A 19,811-nucleotide genomic window follows, 5' to 3' on the forward strand; every position below is an offset into this window, starting at 1 on the left:
ATAGGATTATTTGAAGAAAGAGGAGAGACAAAGGGGTGAAGAGGAGAAGGAGAGAAAGAAGAAAGTGAAAAGGAGGGAAGTGGAGAATAAGTAAAAGTAGAAGGGAGTTATCCTGTTGATGCTGTCCCCAAGAGAAAGGGATGATAGAGTTTTAAGTGTAGCAGCCCAGAAAAAAAAAAAAAGGCAACGTTAATGAAGGGAAATCATTTATCGGCTTGGCCAGGAAATTGGGTGTTCTGGTCAGTCAACTACATGGTTAATAGTTACCTTCCACTTCAGCAAACATCTGTTGAGACTCCTTCATGTGCAAAACTCCATGCAAGACCCTGGGTCATAGCGGAGGCCTCTGAACTCTATCCCTGCCATGCGGGCTCTCCTGTCCTTCTCCACTATGGTTAGAGACAGGTATAGTCTTGTCGCTGTCCTGCTGTAGTCCCCTTAATGACTTCTCCGTGTTCTCTGAATACATACGCCAAACTCCTTACCATGTCCTATGAGGCCCTCCAGGGTCTGGCCTCTTAAGCTTCCATCCATGTCCCCGTCCTCTGTAGCAGCCACAGTGGCCTTTCAGACACTCATTGTATCGTGTCCTTCTGCCCTGCTCCTCCTTTAGATCCCAGCTAATAGATCTCTTCCTCGCCTTCCCTGACATCCACATTCCCACCCCATAATGGAGCAGGTCCCCCCACCCAAAGAGTAGACTGTACTTTTCTCCATGGCATGCATCACAATTTATAGTTACATATACCCCAATTTGGACTCCCCCCAGAGAGGCCCCCAAAGCAAGGATTTGAGAACAACTAGTTCATTTGAAAGGTGGTTCTAGAAAACACTAAGTGAGAAAATAGGGAAGTGAGGCTGGGTACAGTGGCTCACACCTGTAATCCCAGCACTTTGGGAGGCCAAAGTGGGTGGATCTCCTGAGATCAGGAGTTCAAGACCAGCCTGGTCAACATGATGAGAGCCCCATCTCTCCTAAAAATACAAAAATTAACTAGCCAGGCATGGTGGTGATAGCTTGTAATCCCAGCTACTCAGGAGGCTGAGTCAGGAGAATCGTTTGAACCCAGGAGGCGGAGGTTGTAGTGAGTGCGCCCTTACACTCCAGCCTGAGCGACAAGAGTGAAACTCCATCATAAAAAAAAAAAAGAAAGAAAAGAAAAGAAAGAAAGGAAGGAAGGAAGCGGGGAAGTGAGGCAAGGAAAAGAAGGCAGCCTGTGAAGAGAGCCTTCCCAAGCAAGTTACCACCAGGGACCACTGAGCTTCGTCCTGCTGGGGAAACAGTGTGGAACCCACACCTTGGTTATCCCACCCTGGGGTATTTATACACCAATTCCTGTTTGTTACAGGTCACACAGTGCTCTCGGGGGCACTAACTCCCTGGTACTTCTAGCCTGCCATGATCTCAGGCAAAGAGATACAGATGCTGGCAGTTGGAAATCAGCCGGGTATACTGCAGTGGTAAGGCGAAAGGGTGGGGCACTGACAGTTGTGGTAGTTACATATACATGGACATTTACACATAATACATACATATATATGTGTGGGTACATGTAGATAGATATGCATTTGTGTTATTATATCAGTCATATCTCTCTCTGCACTAGAGCCCCATGAGTGAGAGCTGGGACTGAGTAGCAGTATCCCACCCAGTGCCTAGGCCTCACTTCCTGTGGTCCACCATTAAAATCACTCTCTTACCAACACCCTCAACTCCCTGGTTCCTCTTGGCCTCTGTCACACTCACTCTGGATGAATCTACCATCCTCCTTCTCCAACCTGCACCCAAGCAGATTAATGCTGAGAAAATTACACAACAGAGCTGATGGGTTTTACTTTAAATTTATGATCCAATCCTCAAAGGCATAATGGATGTTGCCTGGGAAGAAAATAACTCTGTTTCTCAGAACTCCTACACCCCACCTCCACCCTCAGTCTCAGCAGAGGACCTCACTGAAAGATAGACATCATCAGATCTTCTTCTCACTCCTTCCCCTTCTTTCCTGATATGCTGTGGAAAGTTTCCTTCTGCCTTTGAAAAACCGGTCCTTGGCTGGGCGCGGTGGCTCATGCCTGTAATCCCAGGACTTTGGGAGGCCAAGGCAGGCAGATAACCTCAGGTCAGGAGTTTGAGACCTGCCTGACCAACATGGAGAAACCCCATCTCTACTAAAAATACAAAATTAGCCGAGCATGGTGGCGCATGCCTTTAATCCCAGCTACTGGGCAGGCTGAGGCAGGAGAATCGCTTGAACCCAGGAGGCGGAGGTTGCAGTGGGTGGAGGTTGAGGTGGGCAGAGGGTGCGGTGAGCTGAGATCACGCCATTGCACTCCAGCCTGGGCAACAAGAACAAAACTCCATCTCAAAAAAAAAAGAAAAAGAAAAAAAAACGGTCCTTCTGCTGGTTCCCTGGATTCAATCCCTGTGTGTTCCTCAAATCTTTGCTCCTAGAGTTATCCCCTCTCTCCTGCTTCATTAATCACCCCCTTTCCACCTGTTCATTCTAAGCAACATACCAATGTGATCGAGGGACTTGCTACTCAAAATGGGATTCATGGATCAGCAGCCTGGGCCTCACCTGGGAGCTTGTTAGAAATGCAGAATCTCCCACCTGGGCCTGCAGAATCAAAATCTGCATTTAGCAAGATCCCAAGATGGTTCCCAGGCACATCAAAGTCAGACAAGCAATGGGCTAGGGGTTCCCATTAAAACAAATTAACAGAAAGCACACATATCCACATCCCACACCCATATGAGATTGCTCCATATCCCCTACCAGATAGATTTCTATTTCTCTACTCTCCCTTATAGCCAAGATTTTATCCTTTCATTCAAAAAACGAACACCTACCAGGTACCAAGCAGTTTTCTAGGTTCTGGGGAGACAGAATAAATAAAACCCATTTGATCAGTGTGCATGTGTGGTGTCTTAGGAGCAGAGAAAACAAAGAAAGAAAGAAGACATGATCAGGTCATAAGTGAGTGCTTTGCAGAGAAATAAAATGTGGTCATGTGGTCTTCACCAGATGGCTACTGTAGATCACTCCAAAGAGGTGACATTTAAACTGAGATCTAAGTGACAAGAAGCCGTCATTAGAGTTGTCTACAAGGGAAGCCTTAATTTCTCACTTACCATTCCCCCATTTACCCGTCAGCCAATACAGTTGGTTTCCATCTCGTGCCACTGAAACTGCTTAACAAGGTTTTCAATGACTTCCATGTTGTCACAAGTAATAGCTCATTTTCTGTCCCTTAAAATGTTGTAAAGTGAGTTAGTCACCTGATTAACCTCTTCCTTGCCATACATTGTTCAATGTTAAAATTAAAGGCTTTTCTGGCTGGGCAAGGTGGTTCATGACTGTAATCCCGGCACATTGCGGGGCTGAGACAGAAGGATCACTTCAGCCCAGGAGTTCAAGACCAGCCTGGGCAACCAAGTGGGACTCTTGTCTCTACAAAAAATTAAAATATTTAGCTGGGCGTGGTGGCATATGTCTGTGGTCCCAGTTACTCAGCAGTCTGAGGTGGGAGGATCACTCGAACCTAGGAAGTCAAGGCTGCAGTGAGCTGTGATTGCACCACTGCACTCCAACCTGGGTGACAGAGGAAGACCCTGCCTCAATTTAAAACAAAAAAAGAAAAAGAGACTGGGCACAGTAGCTCACTCCTGTAATCCTAGCACCTTGAGAGGCCAAGGCTGGCAGATCACGAGATCAGGAGTTCGAGACCAGCCTGGCCAACATGGTGAAACCCCGTCTCTACTAAAAATACAAAAATTAGCTGGGCTTGGTGGTGCACACCTGCAATCCCAGCTACTCAGGAGGCTGAGGCAGGCGAATCACTTGAACCCAGGAAGCGGAGGTTGCAGTGAGCCAAGATCGCACCATTGCACTCCAGCCTGGGTGACAGAGCAAGACTCTGTCTCAAGGAAAAAAAAAAGAAAGAAAAAAAAAGACTTTTCTGGATAAGGGAAGAGGTGGCAGGAAAGATGAAAGGGAAGGAGATAAATTAGATAAATTTTACTCAAGCATAAATATATCATTTCAAATTCAGTAAAAAATACATTTTATTTGATTTTTTTTTTATACTTTAAGTTTTAGGGTACATGTGCACATTGTGCAGGTTAGTTACATATGTATACATGTGCCATGCTGGTGCGCTGCACCCACTAACTCGTCATCTAGCATTAGGTATATCTCCCATTGCTATCCCTCCCCCCTCCCCCTAACCCACAACAGTCCCCAGAGTGTGATATTCCCCTTCCTGTGTCCATGTGATCTCATTGTTCAATTCCCACCTATGAGTGAGTATATGCGGTGTCTGGTTTTTTGTTCTTGCGATAGTTTACTGAGAATGATGATTTCCAATTTCACCCATGTCCCTACAAAGGACATGAACTCATCATTTTTTATGGCTGCATAGCATTCCATGGTGTATATGTGCCACATTTTCTTAATCCAGTCTATCATTGTTGGACATTTGGGTTGGTTCCAAGTCTTTGCTGTCGTGAATAATGCCGCAATAAACATACGTGTGCATGTGTCTTTATAGCAGCATGATTTATAGTCCTTTGGGTATATACCCAGTAATGGTATGGCTGGGTCAAATGGTATTTCCAGTTCTAGATCCCTGAGGAATCGCCACACTGACTTCCACAATGGTTGAACTAGCTTACAGTCCCACCAACAGTGTAAAAGTGTTCCTATTTCTCCACATCCTCTCCAGCACCTGTTGTTTCCTGACTTTTTAATGATTGCCATTCTAACTGGTGTGAGATGGTATCTCATTGTGGTTTTGATTTGCATTTCTCTGATGGCCAGTGATGATGAGCATTTTTTCATGTGTTTTTTGGCTGCATAAATGTCTTCTTTTGAGAAGTGTCTGTTCATGTCCTTTGCCCACTTTTTGATGGGGTTGTTTGTTTTTTTCTTGTAAATTTGTTTGAGTTCATTGTAGATTCTGGATATTAGCCCTTTGTCGGATGAGTAGGTTGGGAAAATTTTCTCCCATTCTGTAGGTTGCCTGTTCACTCTGATGGTAGTTTCTTTTGCTGTGCAGAAGCTCTTTAGTTTAATTAGATCCCATTTGTCAATTTTGTCTTTTGTTGCCATTGCTTTTGGTGTTTTAGACATGAAGTCCTTGCCCATGCCTATGTCCTGAATGGTAATGCCTAGGTTTTCTTCTAGGGTTTTTATGGTTTTAGGGAATCAATATCGTGAAAATGGCCATACTGCCCAAGGTAATTTACAGATTCAATGCCATCCCCATCAAGCTACCAATGCCTTTCTTCACAGAATTGGAAAAAACTACTTTAAAGTTCATATGGAACCAAAAAAGAGCCCACATCACCGAGTCAATCCTAAGCCAAAATAACAAAGCTGGAGGCATCACACTACCTGACTTCAAACTATACTACAAGGCTACAGTAACCAAAACAGCATGGTACTGGTACCAAAACAGAGATATAGATCAATGGAACAGAACAGAGCCCTCAGAAATAACGCCACATATCTACAACTATCTGATCTTTGACAAACCTGAGAAAAACAAGCAATGGGGAAAGGATTCCCTATTTAATAAATGGTGCTGGGAAAACTGGCTAGCCATATGTAGAAAGCTGAAACTGGATCCCTTCCTTACACCTTATACAAAAATCAATTCAAGATGGATTATTTGATGTTTTTAACAAACCCTTTGTGACATCAGGTATATTTGGAAATGAGATAGATAACTGCTTTTACCAGCTCACCAAGGGAAAAGCTGGTTCAACATTTCAACTGGAGGTCAACTGGCCTCCCCGACCTCTGTGTTAACTCTCAGGGTATCTGAATTGGAAAGAGAGCTGGAGGGGGCTAAGAGGCTTCCCACTGGCCCACCAGGCTGAACCCACTCTCATTCTACCTTTTTCCCCTGCAAAGCAGGTTAGAGCAGTGAGGGGGTAGAGAAGGTGAGGAAGAAGAAAACCATTTGCTGGGAACTACAGAACCTTACCCAGGAAATGGATGGGAGTTATTATTAGCCTACTGATGTAGAGAAAGACCTAATTCAGCCCAGGGAAGGTGGTTTAGGGATGCCAGTATGTATTGTACCAAAGCTTGGGTTTCATAAAATAGAGGGCTGCATACCTCATTTACTACACATGGTTTGTCAAAACTCTTGACTTACATATTTCTTTTCTTTTCTTTTTCTTTCTTTCTTTCTTTCTTTTTTTTTTTTTTTTTTAATTGAGACGGTCTTGCTCTGTTGCCCAGGCTGGAGTGCAGTGACACAATCTGCAACCTCCGCCTCCTGGTTTCAAGCGATTCTCCTGCCTCAGCCTCCCGAGTAGCTGGAATTACAGATGTACACCACCACGCCCAGTTAATTTTTGTATCTTTAGTAGAGATGGGTTTCACCTTGTTGTCCGGGCTATTCTCAAACTCCTGATCTCAATTGATCTCCCCTTCTCGGCCTCCCAAAGTGCTGGGATTGCAGGAGTGAGTCAATGCATCCAGCCAGGTATTTCTTTTTAAATATCAAATAGCGTTAGAGTCTGTCAGGAGCACGCAGCTTGAATGTTACCCTAGTGCTGCGCACTGAAGCTTGGTCCTGGTAACAACCACTGATGTACGCATGCACCATCATAGTCACTCAACACACTGACTTTGCAGCTTTAACCACTGAATCCAAGCTCAGTCAACACTTGGCCCTCTGTGGTGATGGGGATATGGCCAAGGGTAAAGAAAACTCAGAGGTTAAGAGATGGTTACAGCTTCATGCCCCTGCCTACTCCAATAGTAGAAGACAGTAAAATCAAAAGAACATTTTGTGACATGTGAGAAATATATAAAATTCATATCTCAGTATCCATAAGTAACGTTTTATCATAGCAATGCCCATTTATTTATGTATTGTTTATAGGTGCATTTGTGCTACAATGGCAGAGCTGAGTTACTGTGACAGAAACAATATGGCTCACACAGCCTAAAAGATTTACTCTCTGGGCCAGGCACAGTGGCTCATGCCTATAATCCCAGCACTTTGGAAAGCCGAGGTGGGAGGATCACTTGACCCCAGGAGTTCAAGACCAGCCTGGTCAACATGGTGAAACCCTGTCTCTACTAAAATTACAAAAATTCGCTGGGCAAGGTGGCGCACGCCTGTAATCCCAGCTACCCAGGAGGCTGAGGTACGAGAATCACTTGAAACCAGGAGGCGGAGGCTGCAGTGAGCAGAGATCCCATCACTGCACTCCAGCCTAGGTAACAGAGGGAGACTGCCTCAAAAAAAAAAAAAAAAAAAAAAAAAAAGATTTACTGTCTGACCATTTCCAAAAGAAATGTTTGTGGATCCCTGGTCTGCAGCCAGAGGTGCAGGTGTTTTAGTCTTGGATTCCAGGGTCTGCATGATGGTGACCGCATCTTGACTTACCTTTGCAGCCTTACCTGCGGGGCTTTCCTGCTTCACATCCCTCCCACAATGGCCCTGGCAAACCTCTTCTTGTTCCTCACTTAAATCTCTTGCTGTCCCACCTCTGTGTTTTCTCCCTGCTGTTCTCCTCTTTTGGAAACCACACCTAATACTCTCAATTTGCTTTTATGCCAATTTCCCTCAACCTTCAAACAGGCCTTCCCACATCTCTCAACTATAATTTATTTCTCCACCCTTTTTTTTTGGCCATAATTCTCTCTGTGCTGTCTCATGACATGCCAGTTTTCTACTTTGCATTATGATTATTTATGCACATGTTTTATTCCCCCTCTAGACTATAAACTCCTTGAAGAATGCATCGGCTCATTACAAAATTAGCATTCTGAGAACCCTTATTTGCATCACACATAAGATCTCTTGTCTTCAGCAAAAAGGAGTATACTTATGACACATATAATTGGCACTTATCACACAAATCAATGATAATGGGGAACAAGGGCAAGATGGTTAATTAAAACCTACAGCAAATTCCTCCAAAATTCATTTTTGCCTTTCCTACTATTTTACCAGTATAATATGCACTGGTTTATACCAAATTCCTTATTTTTTACTCTCCCCCCAGACTTTATAGATGTGTAACTGCCTTGGCCATCATGCAGTTAGTGGGTGCAACAAGACCACAAGTGAATAATCCACCAGCTGAAATCATCAGGTCTCCAGGAATGGAAAGCTTTGGGACATTCTTTCCAGTAAGAGTAGGAGCCTCTGAACTCTGAACTTTCCACCCACAGAGCTCCATAAGGATTTGTGTGTATGCCATTTGGAACTTAGACATGGAAAAATAATCTTTTAGTATGGCTCTGATACTGAAAATAATAGGTGACGTTCAAGTAAAAATTAAATAAAACAACCAAGTTCCCTGCACATATGTCTGATTAGGCAGGCCAAATATTCTATGGGAAACATTAATTCAACCAGAAATGATAAGGAAATAAAATAAATATGAAGAACAACTCTGCTTGCCAAAGCAACATATGCGTTTGGGATGAGTCTTTGCACCCATGACTAGTATACACAAATATTGTGTTAAACCTTTCCTCCTAATAGCCTCATTTCTCACATGCTCTTCAGAGGAAAAAATGTGATGCTAATTTAAGATGACTTATCCTGCTAAGCACATAAATAAAAAATAGTTCAAAATCCAGCACATGATAGAACTCCCCTTTCACATTTAATTAAGTACTTTTAATTGGCAATTCATTTGGCAGACTGTATATTTCGGGCTGGAGAGACGAAGCAGAGCAGACCCCTTAGTTAGATACAAAAGAGGAGATGTGGGGTGTGTACAACTGCTTTATGGTATGTGATGCAGAAATGTGATGTCAGGCATGGAAGAAAGACGACTATCTGACTATCCTTACATCTGGGAAGGAATTAGCAGCGAACAGGGCAAATGCTAGAGGGTCTAATCAGGATTATAAAATGTCATTTAGAAAGATATTTACATTGTTAATTAGGCAATGAAGCTGATAACTGCTACTCTGTACATCGTGCTAATTACCCTGGTGCCTTGGAAGACTTTCTAATCAGCCAGATCAATAGACTCCTGGTTTATGCTAATCACACAGAGTCACCCTCCTTCTGAAGTGCTTTGCTTATAGCAGCCTGAACCCAGTTCAGCTCCTGCCCACTGTCCTGTGCTAGAGGCAGCCAGCATTCATCTGTCTGCCCACATCACAGCAGTAAGGCTGATGCCTGCTCACCCCCAAGGCCCACAGCAAGGGAACTAGAATCCTACCATGCAGCACGCCGTCATCAATTGTTCAGGAAGGAGGCCTGAGCCTTTGTGCTCCATGAGATTTTCATGTAGCCACAGCTCTGTTTTCTTCCGACAATGAGAAAGATCATATAGTCCCGAGGGATAAGGGCTATGAGGAAGATCTAGATTTAAGTCTCCTCTGCCATCGACTTTGACGGTAACGACCTTGGAGCAGGACACCAATTGTTTTGATGGGAATGTGTGCAGGACCAGGTATGAAGGTCAATTTGGCTCAGATACTGGGTGAACCTTTAGGGACTTTTGTTTGTTTGCTTTTTCACTGATCATTAGTATGAACAAACTATTCTTCTGAGCCAGAGGAACCAAACTGCTTACCTCTCCCAGTACACAGGCAGCATCTCTGGGGCCCCAGCATGACAAGAAGAAATCTGAAAAATGTAATAAAAGGCAAAGACAGTCTAATGCAGAGTGCTTTCATGTGTACAGCTGCCTCTTGGTCATCCACATGGAATGGGTAGAGTGTGCATGAAGGAGACCCAGAAATAATCCATTTACCTCATTGCAACCTATAATTTCTATCTCCTTCCCCCACCAAACCTCAAACAAAAAAATGGCTGGTAGCCAAGTGGCCTGGTTTGAAGAAGATTAACTCATTTGCTTTTTGCTCTAATTCCCTGGTAGGTGTCCTAATGAACAGTCAAAAATCCCACTTGGAGAGTAACAGGGCAAAAAAAGAAAGGATTAGCAAAGGGTTTGGATAACCCATGGACTGAATAATCAGTCCCCAAATAATTTAGAGTCAACTACACGTAAACTTTAAGCAGCAGCCAAGGGAGGGCATGGAGTTGGAAAGCCAAGGTGAGAGAGACGCTGAGCACAATTAGGGTTGGAAACAGCTGGGATCCATTTCTTCACTGCAGAAGCAGAACTCCTTCTGTGCACCTCTGCATGGGGCTCCCAAGCTTTCATTGCTAGCTCCCCTGCCCCAGCAGGCAGAGCCTCTGAGTTCAAGGCCAGCTCCTGCGCTGGGCTTTGGGATGGGGCCAATTTGTTGAATTGTTTCAGTGCTTTGATGTGTAAACTAATCATCCGTCATTGTGCTCTAATTAAACTTAAGTGGTGCAATGGATTTGCTGTCATAGAGGCCAGGGCCCCTCCTGGCTTGGGGAGGGAGGGGCAGGATCCACTGAAAGCATCCCAGCCCCAGGAGAGCATAGAGCAAGGAAATGCCAGGCATGAATAGGAAAGGAGCTGATAACCCTGTCTAGGTCTAGGAGACTGAAGAAAATGGGAAAAACCAGCAACCAAGGCGGGTCTATGAGTCTCTGATTTCCGGGGTGTAATCGCCCTCAGCATGAGTGTCCAGACATAACAAGTTCAGGTCAAGTGGCTAACCACTAGGTGATCTTACATTTGTCATGGTAACACATCTCTCTGGGGCCAGCTGGCTTGGCATCATCAAATTGTAAAACTGTTTCACAAGGTGAGGGGCAGTTTCCCCCCTACACCCAAACCAGATGACCAAAAGGTGCCAGGAGAGCAGATTCAAGACTCTATAAAATGTTGACCATCACGGCCATTTTCCTCTTCCCCAAATACTTGCATTCTAACTTTCAAGAAGTATGTCTGCAATTATGAAGGGGAGAGTGAGTTCTCCTTATGATGGAGAGTCAGAGGAAAGAGGGAGAAGATGGTTGTGGTGCAGTTGTGCTGTGACATGTGTTTTGGGAAGAGAGTCATCCTGTCCCAGACCTGACCCTTCCCTGGCTCCAGTGCATCACCAGAAGGCGGGGATGAGAGTGTCCATGTTCCATACTGCACCAACATTTTGTGGGACCACAACCTGGATAATGCTGATACATTTGTGTTGTTGCCTCAATGTAATTGATAAATCCCACTCCATAGAGACACAGTGATGACATGATGAAAAGATTCTTCTCTTCTTCACCCACGTATTCGTTTAGCAACTATTGATTGAATATCTGTGTACAAGGCATGCTATAAGATCCAAGTTGTGCAAGATACAGCCTCTGCCATGAAAGGACTCCTACTGTCAGAGGAAAGATAAGATGACCACCTATGATTTGACAATTGCAAGTAATTCAATAACAACTATACCTTGGAGGGAAAAAAAAATAGATCAAGCATATTATCATATGGATATTATGGGGAACTGTCTAGACATCTCCAGAAAAGAAAGGGAAGAAAGGACACTAACACTTTTGGCCATCTTTTTGTATGCCAGACACTATGTCAGGCATAATCACAACTGTTTTCTCATTCAGTACTCACCACTGTCAGAGGCGTTTGAACAAGAGCAACTCCATCTTGAATAGGTGCTGGGTAAAATAAGCCTGAGACTTACTGGGCTGCATTCCCAGGAGGTTAGGCATTCTAAGTCACAGGATGAGATAGGGGGTCACAAAGACCTTGCTGATAAAACAGCATGCGGTAAAGAAACCAGTCAAATCCCATCAAATCCAAGATGGCGATGAGAGTGACCTCTGGTGGTCCTCACTGCTCATTAAATGCTAATTATAATGCACTAGTATGCTAAAAGACACTCCCACCAGTGCCATGACAGTTTAGAAATGCCACGGCAATGTCAGGAAATTACCCTATATGGTCTAAAAGGGAAAGGAAGCCTCAGTTCTGGGAATTGCCCACCCCTTTCCAGGAAAACTCAGAAATAATCCACCCCTTGCTTAGCATATAATCAAGAAATAACTAGCTGCATGTGGTGGCTCACACCTGTAATCCCAGCATTTTGGAAGGCCAAGGCGGGTGGGTTACTTCAGGTCAGGAGTTCAAGACCAGCCTGCCAACATGGCAAAACCCAGCCTCTACTAAAAATACAAAAATTAGCCAGGCATGGTGACATGTGACTGTAATCCCAGCTACTCAGGAGGCTGAGGCAGGAGACTTACTTGAACCCAGGAGGCGGAGGTTGCAGTGAGCTGAGATTGTGCCACTGCATACCAGCCTGGTCGACAGAGCGAGATTTTGTCTCAAAAAAAAAGAAAAAAATAAATAACTATAAGTATCCTTAGTCCAGCAGTCTAAGCTGCTGCTCTGCCTATGGAGTAGCCATTTTTTTTTTATTCCTTCGCTTTCTTGATAAACTTGCTTTCACTTTACTCTATGGAATCGCCTCAAATTCTTTCTTGCACAAGATCCAAGAACCCTCTCCTGGGGTCTGGATCGGGACCTCTTTCCAGTAACATCATCATCCTATAAGGTGAACATGATTATTCCTATTTTACAATGAGAAAGCTAGGCCAGGCGTAGTGGCTCACGCCTGTAATCCCAATACTTTGGGAGGCTGAGGCGGGTGGATCACGAGGTCAGGAGATCGAGACCATCCTGGCCAACATGGTGAAACCTCGACTGTACTAAAAACACAAAAATTGGCCTGGCGTGGTGGTGTGCGCCTGTAGTCCCGGCTACTCAGGAGGCCGAGGCAGGAGAATTGCTTGAACCCGGGAGGTGGAGGTTGCAGTGAGCCGAGATAGCACCACTTCACTCTAGCCTGGGCGACAGAGGGACACTCCATCTCAAAAAACAAAACAAAACAAAACAAAACAATGAAAAAGCTAAGACTAAAGTATCCCTGACGAATGCCATATAAAAGTGTGGCAGGCATACAACTTGTCCCTGCCCTCTCCACAGCCCCATATCTGCGCTCTCCTTCTCTGGTAATAGAAATTTTGGCCTTAGATAGTTACCCAAATAAGATCTACCTCTCCTAGTCTCCTTTGTATAGATCTGGCCATGTGACTAGGTCCTGAGAATAGGATGGAAAGAGATGTGATGGGAGCAACTTCCGTGTTGTATCTTACAAAAGAAAGCAGCTGGGCGTGGTGGCTCACACTTGTAATTGGGAGGCAGAGGCAGGTGGATCACTTGAGCCCAGGAGTTTGATACCAGCCTGCACAACATAATGAGACTTTGTCTCCGCAAAAAGTAAAAAAAGAAATTAGCAGGGCATGGTGATGCGCACCTGTAGTCTAGCTACTCGGGAAGCTGAGGTGGAAGGATTACTTGAATCCAGGACGTGTAGGCTGCAGTGAGCCATGATTGTGCTACTGCACTCCAGCCTGGGTGATGGGGCAAGACCCTGTCTGAATGAAAGAAAGAAAGAAAGAAACAAACAAACAAACAAACAAACAGAGAGAGTGGGAGGAAGCGAAGTCAGAAAGCCTGTTTTCTCTTTCCTCTTTCTGCCTTCCTGCCGGTTCCAACAAAGATGTGGTGGTGACCACCTCAAACCATGGAAATGTAGACAGCATGCTAGGGCTGACGGAGTGAATGACTGGTAGGGTCCAGATTATAGGACACCCTGAAGACCCCATATCAGTTTGGACTGTTTCTATTCCTACTCTTACATGGAAGCAATAAACTATTTTGTTTAAATCACTGATATATTGACTCAGTGTTTCAGGCATATGTCAAGTAATAGAGAGTAGCACAAACCAAATAACAGAGGAATGCAGAGGAGAGAAAAAAATCATCAAGAAAAATATTCTTCAATTGTTTTTAAATTTATCAAACACCTAATACATGCCAGGCACTGCTCTGGGCTCTGGGGATTCAAAAATAAACAAAGTTCTTGACCTTAAGGAGGAAACCCATAAAACGATCATTTTATGTGGAAATACCATTGTTAGCAATAATCACAGAGTGCCATGAGTGAACCGGAAATGGACACCTATCTCAGCCTGAAGGATTTCCAGCCTTTAACCTGGGCCTGGAAATCCCCATTTGGATTTTATTATAGTAGGGAAGATGGAAGGTGGAAAAAAGAGGAGGGGAAAAACTGTTGTCAGAGGCTGCCTCCTTGCCTGACTTTGATTAGTCCCACTACCTGTAATTGCCACCTGGAAGGTTCACTCTCTCCATTCCTAATTATTCTTGCATGCACAGGTCCCGCCTTGTCTAGAAGACTCTGCTGAAACTCCCCAATGCTGAGTCTGAAGGAGTATCTCCAATGACACTGACATCTGCAGCACTCCAGCAGACTAAACAGCAATGCAAGGCCACACATCAAGTATATTTGCAGGGTTGTCTTCCTTCCTTATTGTTTTTGTTTGTTTGTTTGTTTGTTTTTGAGACAGAGTCTCACTCTGTCACCAGGCTGGAGTGCAGTGGCACGATCTCGGCTCACCGCAACCTCCACCTCCCGGGTTCAAGCGATTCTCCTGCCTCAGCCTCCTGACTAGCTGGGACTACAGGCGCACGCCACCACACCTGGCTAATTTTTGTATTTTTAGTAGAGACGGAGTTTCACCATGTTGGCCAGGATGGTCTCCATCTCTTGACCTTGTGATCTGCCTGCCTCAGCCTCCCAAAGTGAGCCACCGCGCCCAGCTCCTTCTTTATTTAGATTAAACTCCTTAAAGGCCGGAGTGATGTTTTATGAAGTTCTGTGCACCTTGCTCAGCACATGGCACGGAGCCTGCAATTGAGAGCCCAGAGCCATGTGGACAACTTTGGACTAAGACTCACAGGGGTTCAACTCCCACCCTTTCCATTCATGGGCTGTGTGTGATCAGGAGCAAGTCACTTACCCCTCTGAGCCTCACTATCTTCATCTGTGAAAACAGGAATCATAGAACCTATTTGGAAGAATTGTCATAACATCTGTAAAAGTATCTAGCAATGTGCCTGGCACAGAGGTAATTTATTTTCCCTTTTTTTTGAGACGAAGTCTCGCTCTTGTCCGCCAGGTTGGAGTGCGATGGCGCGATCTCCGCTCACTGCAACCTCCGCCTCCTGGGTTCAAGCGATTCTCTTGCCTCAGCCTCCTGAGTAGCTGGGATTACAGGCACCGGCCACCACGCCCGGCTAATTTTTGTATTTTTAGTAGAGACGGGGGTTTCACCATGTTGGCCAGGCTGGTCTCGAACTCTTGACCTCAGGTGATCCGCCTGCCTCGGCCTCCTAAAGTGCTGAGATTATAGGCATGAGCCACCGCACCTGGCCTATTTTCCTTTTAAAAATACATATTTCTCAAAACATATCCTTAATTCTGGGTGCTGTATCATTTATTAGAAACTGCAATGCTCACGCCCTCTGCCCATTCACATTGACTGCATGCGGAGGAGTTTGGAAGACTCTAATAGAGAGAGCCCACATTCAACTAGTTTAAGTGTCATGATCATTGCTGGTCAGGTCAGGTGCGTGTTGAGTGCATGAGAGGCAGAGGGGGTCGTGTGCTGGCCATTTCTGGACCTCATTTACAAAGTTGGCTATTCATTAAGACTTAAGACTTGCCACATTGGGCCACCAAGCAAAGATTGCTGTCAGGAACCCAAACTGGGAAAATAGATCATTTATGTCCTGAATGGCTCATAACATTTTTTTTTTATTATACTTTAAGTTTTAGGGTACATGTGCACAATGTGCAGGTTAGTTACATATGTATACATGTGCCATGCTGGTGCGCTGCACCCACTAACTCGTCATCTAGCATTAGGTGTATCTCCTAATGCTATCCCTCCCCCCTCCCCCCACCCCACAACAGTCCCCAGAGTGTGATGTTCCCCTTCCTGTGTCCCTGTGTTCTCATTGTTCAATTCCCACCTATGAGTGAGAATATGCAGTGTTTGGTTTTTTGTTCTTGCGATAGTTTACTGAGAATAATGATTTCCAATTTCATCCATGTCCCTACAAAGGACATGAACTCATCATTTTTTATGGCTGCATAGTATTCCATGGTATATATGTGCCACATTTTCTTAATCCAGTCTATCATTGTTGGACATTTGGGTTGGTTCCAAGTCTTTGCTATTGTGAATAATGCCGCAATAAACATTCGTGTGCATGTGTCTTTATAACAGCATGATTTATAGTCCTTTGGGTATATACCCAGTAATGGGATGTCTGGGTCAAATGGTATTTCTAGTTCTAGATCAACATTTTTGTATAGAAAGGAGATAAGGCACAGTATTTGGAATTGCCTCTCCATGAATTTTTGATCCCTCCTGTCCTGCCACACACACACACAGACACACACACACACACACACACACACACACACACACACACACACAGTCCCTTCCCCTAAAAAAGCCCGTTCCTGCCCTGGTCTAGAAACCCAGGAGCCATCCCTGACTCTCCCTTCCCCTTAACAGTGAGTCTTGTTGATTCTCTCCTCAGCTTCTCTCTTGAATCTATCCTCTTCTCTCCATCCCACCACCAACCTAGTCCAAGCCACCACTGTCTGTCACTAAGAGCCTTGCTACTCAAAGAGTAGACTGGGAACCAGCATCACTGGAAGCTTGTTAGAAGTGCAATCTCTGAATCCACCCCAGACCTAGATGTAAGGAATCAGAATCTGCGTTTTAATAAGATCCCCAGTGACTCATTTGCACTTTAAAGTTCAAGAATGGGAATGCTGCAGGAGCCTCCTAACCAGTTTCCCCCTCCTACTGCTGCCTCACATTAACTCATTGGTCTGGAACCAATTTGCTCTCTTTTTATTTATTTATTTTTTGACTGCAACCTCTGCCTCTCAGGTTCAAGCAATTCTCCTGCCTCAGCCTCCCAAGTAGTTGGGACTGCAGGTGCACGCTACCATGCCTGGCTAATTTTTTGTGTTTTAGTAGAGACGGGGTTTCACCACGTTGCCCAGGCTGGTCTCGCACTCCTGAGCTCAGGCAATCCACCCGCCTCGGTCTCCCAAAGTGCTAGGAGTACAGGCATGAGCCACTGTGCCCAGCCTCAATTTGCCCTCTTAACTTGAGAACTCCCACACTATTCAGATAGTGCCATTTTTCCACTGTACTTCTCTACATGACACAGGATTGCTGTTCTAATTTTTTACAGATTATTTTATCCACAAGATAAAGACAAGATTTCTTGTTTCCTCCCTGAGTAGGTGAGGGAAGATATTTTGGGTCATTTCATTGGAGGCTGTGGGATTCTTTTCAGGGTCCTGCATTTATGAAACGGTTTCAGTTCCAAGTCCCCTTTTCAAGTGAGCCCAAGCTTTGTCCCTGTCCCAGCCCAGGCATGAAAACTCCAGCCCCAAGCCATTAGGGTTTGTATTCTGGAACTCCCCCCACCCCACTCCCACCTCTCAGCAGCCACAGAATCCACTTGGGATCTTTCTGCTCTGTCTTTAACCTCTCCTAATCTCTGCCTCAGGATTATTTGCCTTTCTTTATGTGAAACTCAGACCCACTGTTTGATTTAGTTTAGTTTAGTGTTGTTTGTTTGTTTGTTTGTTTGTTTCTGAGGTGGAGTTTCATTCTTGTTGCCCAGGCTGGATTGCAATGGCCTGATCTCGGCTCACCGCAACCTCCGCCTCCCGGGTTCAAGCGATTTGCCTGCCTCAGCCTCCGGAGTAGCTGGGATTACAGGCATGTGCCAGCACGCCTGGCTAATTTTGTATTTTTTAATAGAGATGGGGTTTCTCCATGTTGGTCGGGCTGGTCTCAAACTCCCGACCTCAGGTGATCCACCTGCCTCGGCCTCCCAAAGTGTTGGGATTACAGGCGTGAGCCACCGCACCCGGCCTAGTTTAGTTTTTAAAATGAAAGTCATTTCTATGTGTTTATGGTGGAGTTAGGAGAGGAGGAGGGAAAAGAGTCCCCTACTGGCCCAACTTACTTATCCTGTTACCAGTCAGAGCCATCATCTTAAAACTGCGGTCAGATCCCGCTACTGTCCTGTTTAAAATGGGTCAGTGGCTTTTCTCCACGTTTGGGCCAAAATCCAAAACGCAGAGTAGGCAACCTGGCCCCTGCCTACTCAGCTCCCCAGTCATTGGTGCGAGGAATAAAGTTGTTGAAAGTGTGACAGTCTAGAGCTGCACTGTCCCACAGGGGGCCACTCCAGACCGAGCTGTGTGCTTGGTGCATACTGGATTTCAAAGACTTCCTATGACAAAAAGAATGTAAAGTACCTCTTTAATTAAAAAAAAATTGTTTTTTTGAGACAGAGTCTCACTCTTTCGCCCAGGCTGGAGTGCAGTGGTGCCATCCCTGGATGGCCTCAACTATAGCCTCAACCTCCTAGGCTCAAGCAATCCTCTTGCCTTAGCCTCCTAAGTACCTGGGACCACAGGTGTGCACCATTAAGCCCAGCTAATTTTTGTATTTGTTGTAGAGATGAGGTCTCACTATGATGTTCAAACTGGTCTTGAACTCCTGAGCTCAAGCAATCTGCCTGCCTGGGCCTCTCAAAGTGCTGAGATTACAGGCATGAGCCACAGCGGCTGGCCCAAATAAATTTTTATGTAGATTACATGTTGAAATGGTAATATTTGGATTATTGTGTTAAATTAAATATATTTCTTATTTTATTTATTTATTTTTTTGAGATGGAGTCTCACTCTGTCACCCAGGCTGGAGAGCAATGGCACAATCTCGGCTTACTGCAACCTCCACATCCTGGGTTCCAGCAATTCTCCTGCCTCAGCCTCCTGAGTAGCTGGGACTACAGGCGTGTGCCACCATGCCTGGCTAATTTTTGTATTTTTTAGTAGAGATGGGGTTTCACCATATTGCCCAGGCTGGTCTTGAACTCCTGACCTCATGATCCGCCTGCCTCAGCCTCCCAAAGTGCTGGGATTACAGGCGTGAGCCACCGCACCTGGCTAAATATATTTTTTTAAATTAGCACCGGCCGTGGTGGTGCACACCTGTAGTCCCAGCTACTCGGGAGGTTAGGGCAGGAGAATCACTTGGGCCCAGGGGTTCCAGTCCAGCCTGGGCAACACAGCAAGACTGTCTCAAAAAAAAAGGTTTTTAATTAATTTCACCTTCTTAAAAATATGGTTCCTAGGAATTTAAAATGACAAAGGCAGTTTACATTATATTTCCATCAGACATTGCCGGTGAAGCACCTGGAAGCAAAAGTGATTGCAGACATTGGAACTCATATGTCATTTCTGTTCGCTCTGGTAGACTCGGGTGCCTCGGGAAAGCCCAGTGCTTTCAGAAGCAATTCATTTAGCACTGAGCGACATCTGAGCTCATTCCTGACTGTGTTGAGGGGTGGGCAATCTCACTGGGGAAAAACAAACAGCCCGAATCAGGCTTTGTTCTTAATGATATTCCTAAGTGCTGACGACACCCCTGCTGGGTCCAGCCTCAGGGGACACAGTGGGGAACTGATTGACAGCCATTAAGAAAATGGAATTGAACACCTCAGATCAGACATCAAGGCAGAATCTTTATCAAGCTAGCATCAGACTCTGCGAGCTCTCCAGCTAGGAGGAAGGCTTGCCTCTAGGACCTTTGCTGTTTGCGATTATAGACAGTCCCCAGTGCTATTTAACATTCTAGAATTCGAATTGTAAAAAGACATCATTGTGTACTGCTTGCCATTCACTGGCCATGTGGATGAGTGAGTTAACCAAGTTAACCTCCATGGCCCTCAGTGTTCTCATACATAGCATGGTGGTGAAAATTGTACCTACGTCATGGAGTTGGTGGAAAAACGAGACGAGCATCCAGCCATGCACTTATAACAGTGCCCAGCATACAGCCAGTGTTCAATGGAGATTCGTTATTATGATGGCTATTTATGTTTCACATGGGAATGTTTGCATAAAAGGAGTCTTTGCCTACAGCCAAAAATCTTAAGCTAAAGCTGAGAGATGTGCTCCATATGG

At 45.0% G+C, this 19,811-nt stretch overlaps 2 annotated features.

The window, feature by feature from the left end:
• Nucleotides 17,495-17,808: a silencer, noted in NCBI's record as "fragment chr17:26241118-26241431 (GRCh37/hg19 assembly coordinates)". NCBI's record gives its function as "represses an EF-1alpha promoter that drives an FKBP-Casp9 reporter gene in an ReSE screen in K562 erythroleukemia cells {active_cell/tissue: K562}" and the evidence as "EXISTENCE:reporter gene assay evidence [ECO:0000049][PMID:32094911]".
• Nucleotides 18,882-19,739: an enhancer, noted in NCBI's record as "OCT4-NANOG hESC enhancer chr17:26242505-26243362 (GRCh37/hg19 assembly coordinates)". NCBI's record gives its function as "activates a minimal SCP1, AML or CMV promoter by ChIP-STARR-seq in naive H9 embryonic stem cells {active_cell/tissue: H9 hESC(naive)}" and the evidence as "EXISTENCE:reporter gene assay evidence [ECO:0000049][PMID:30033119]".

The sequence above is a fragment of the Homo sapiens genome, chromosome 17 (assembly GCF_000001405.40).
Source record: "Homo sapiens chromosome 17, GRCh38.p14 Primary Assembly".
NCBI lineage: Eukaryota > Metazoa > Chordata > Mammalia > Primates > Hominidae > Homo > Homo sapiens.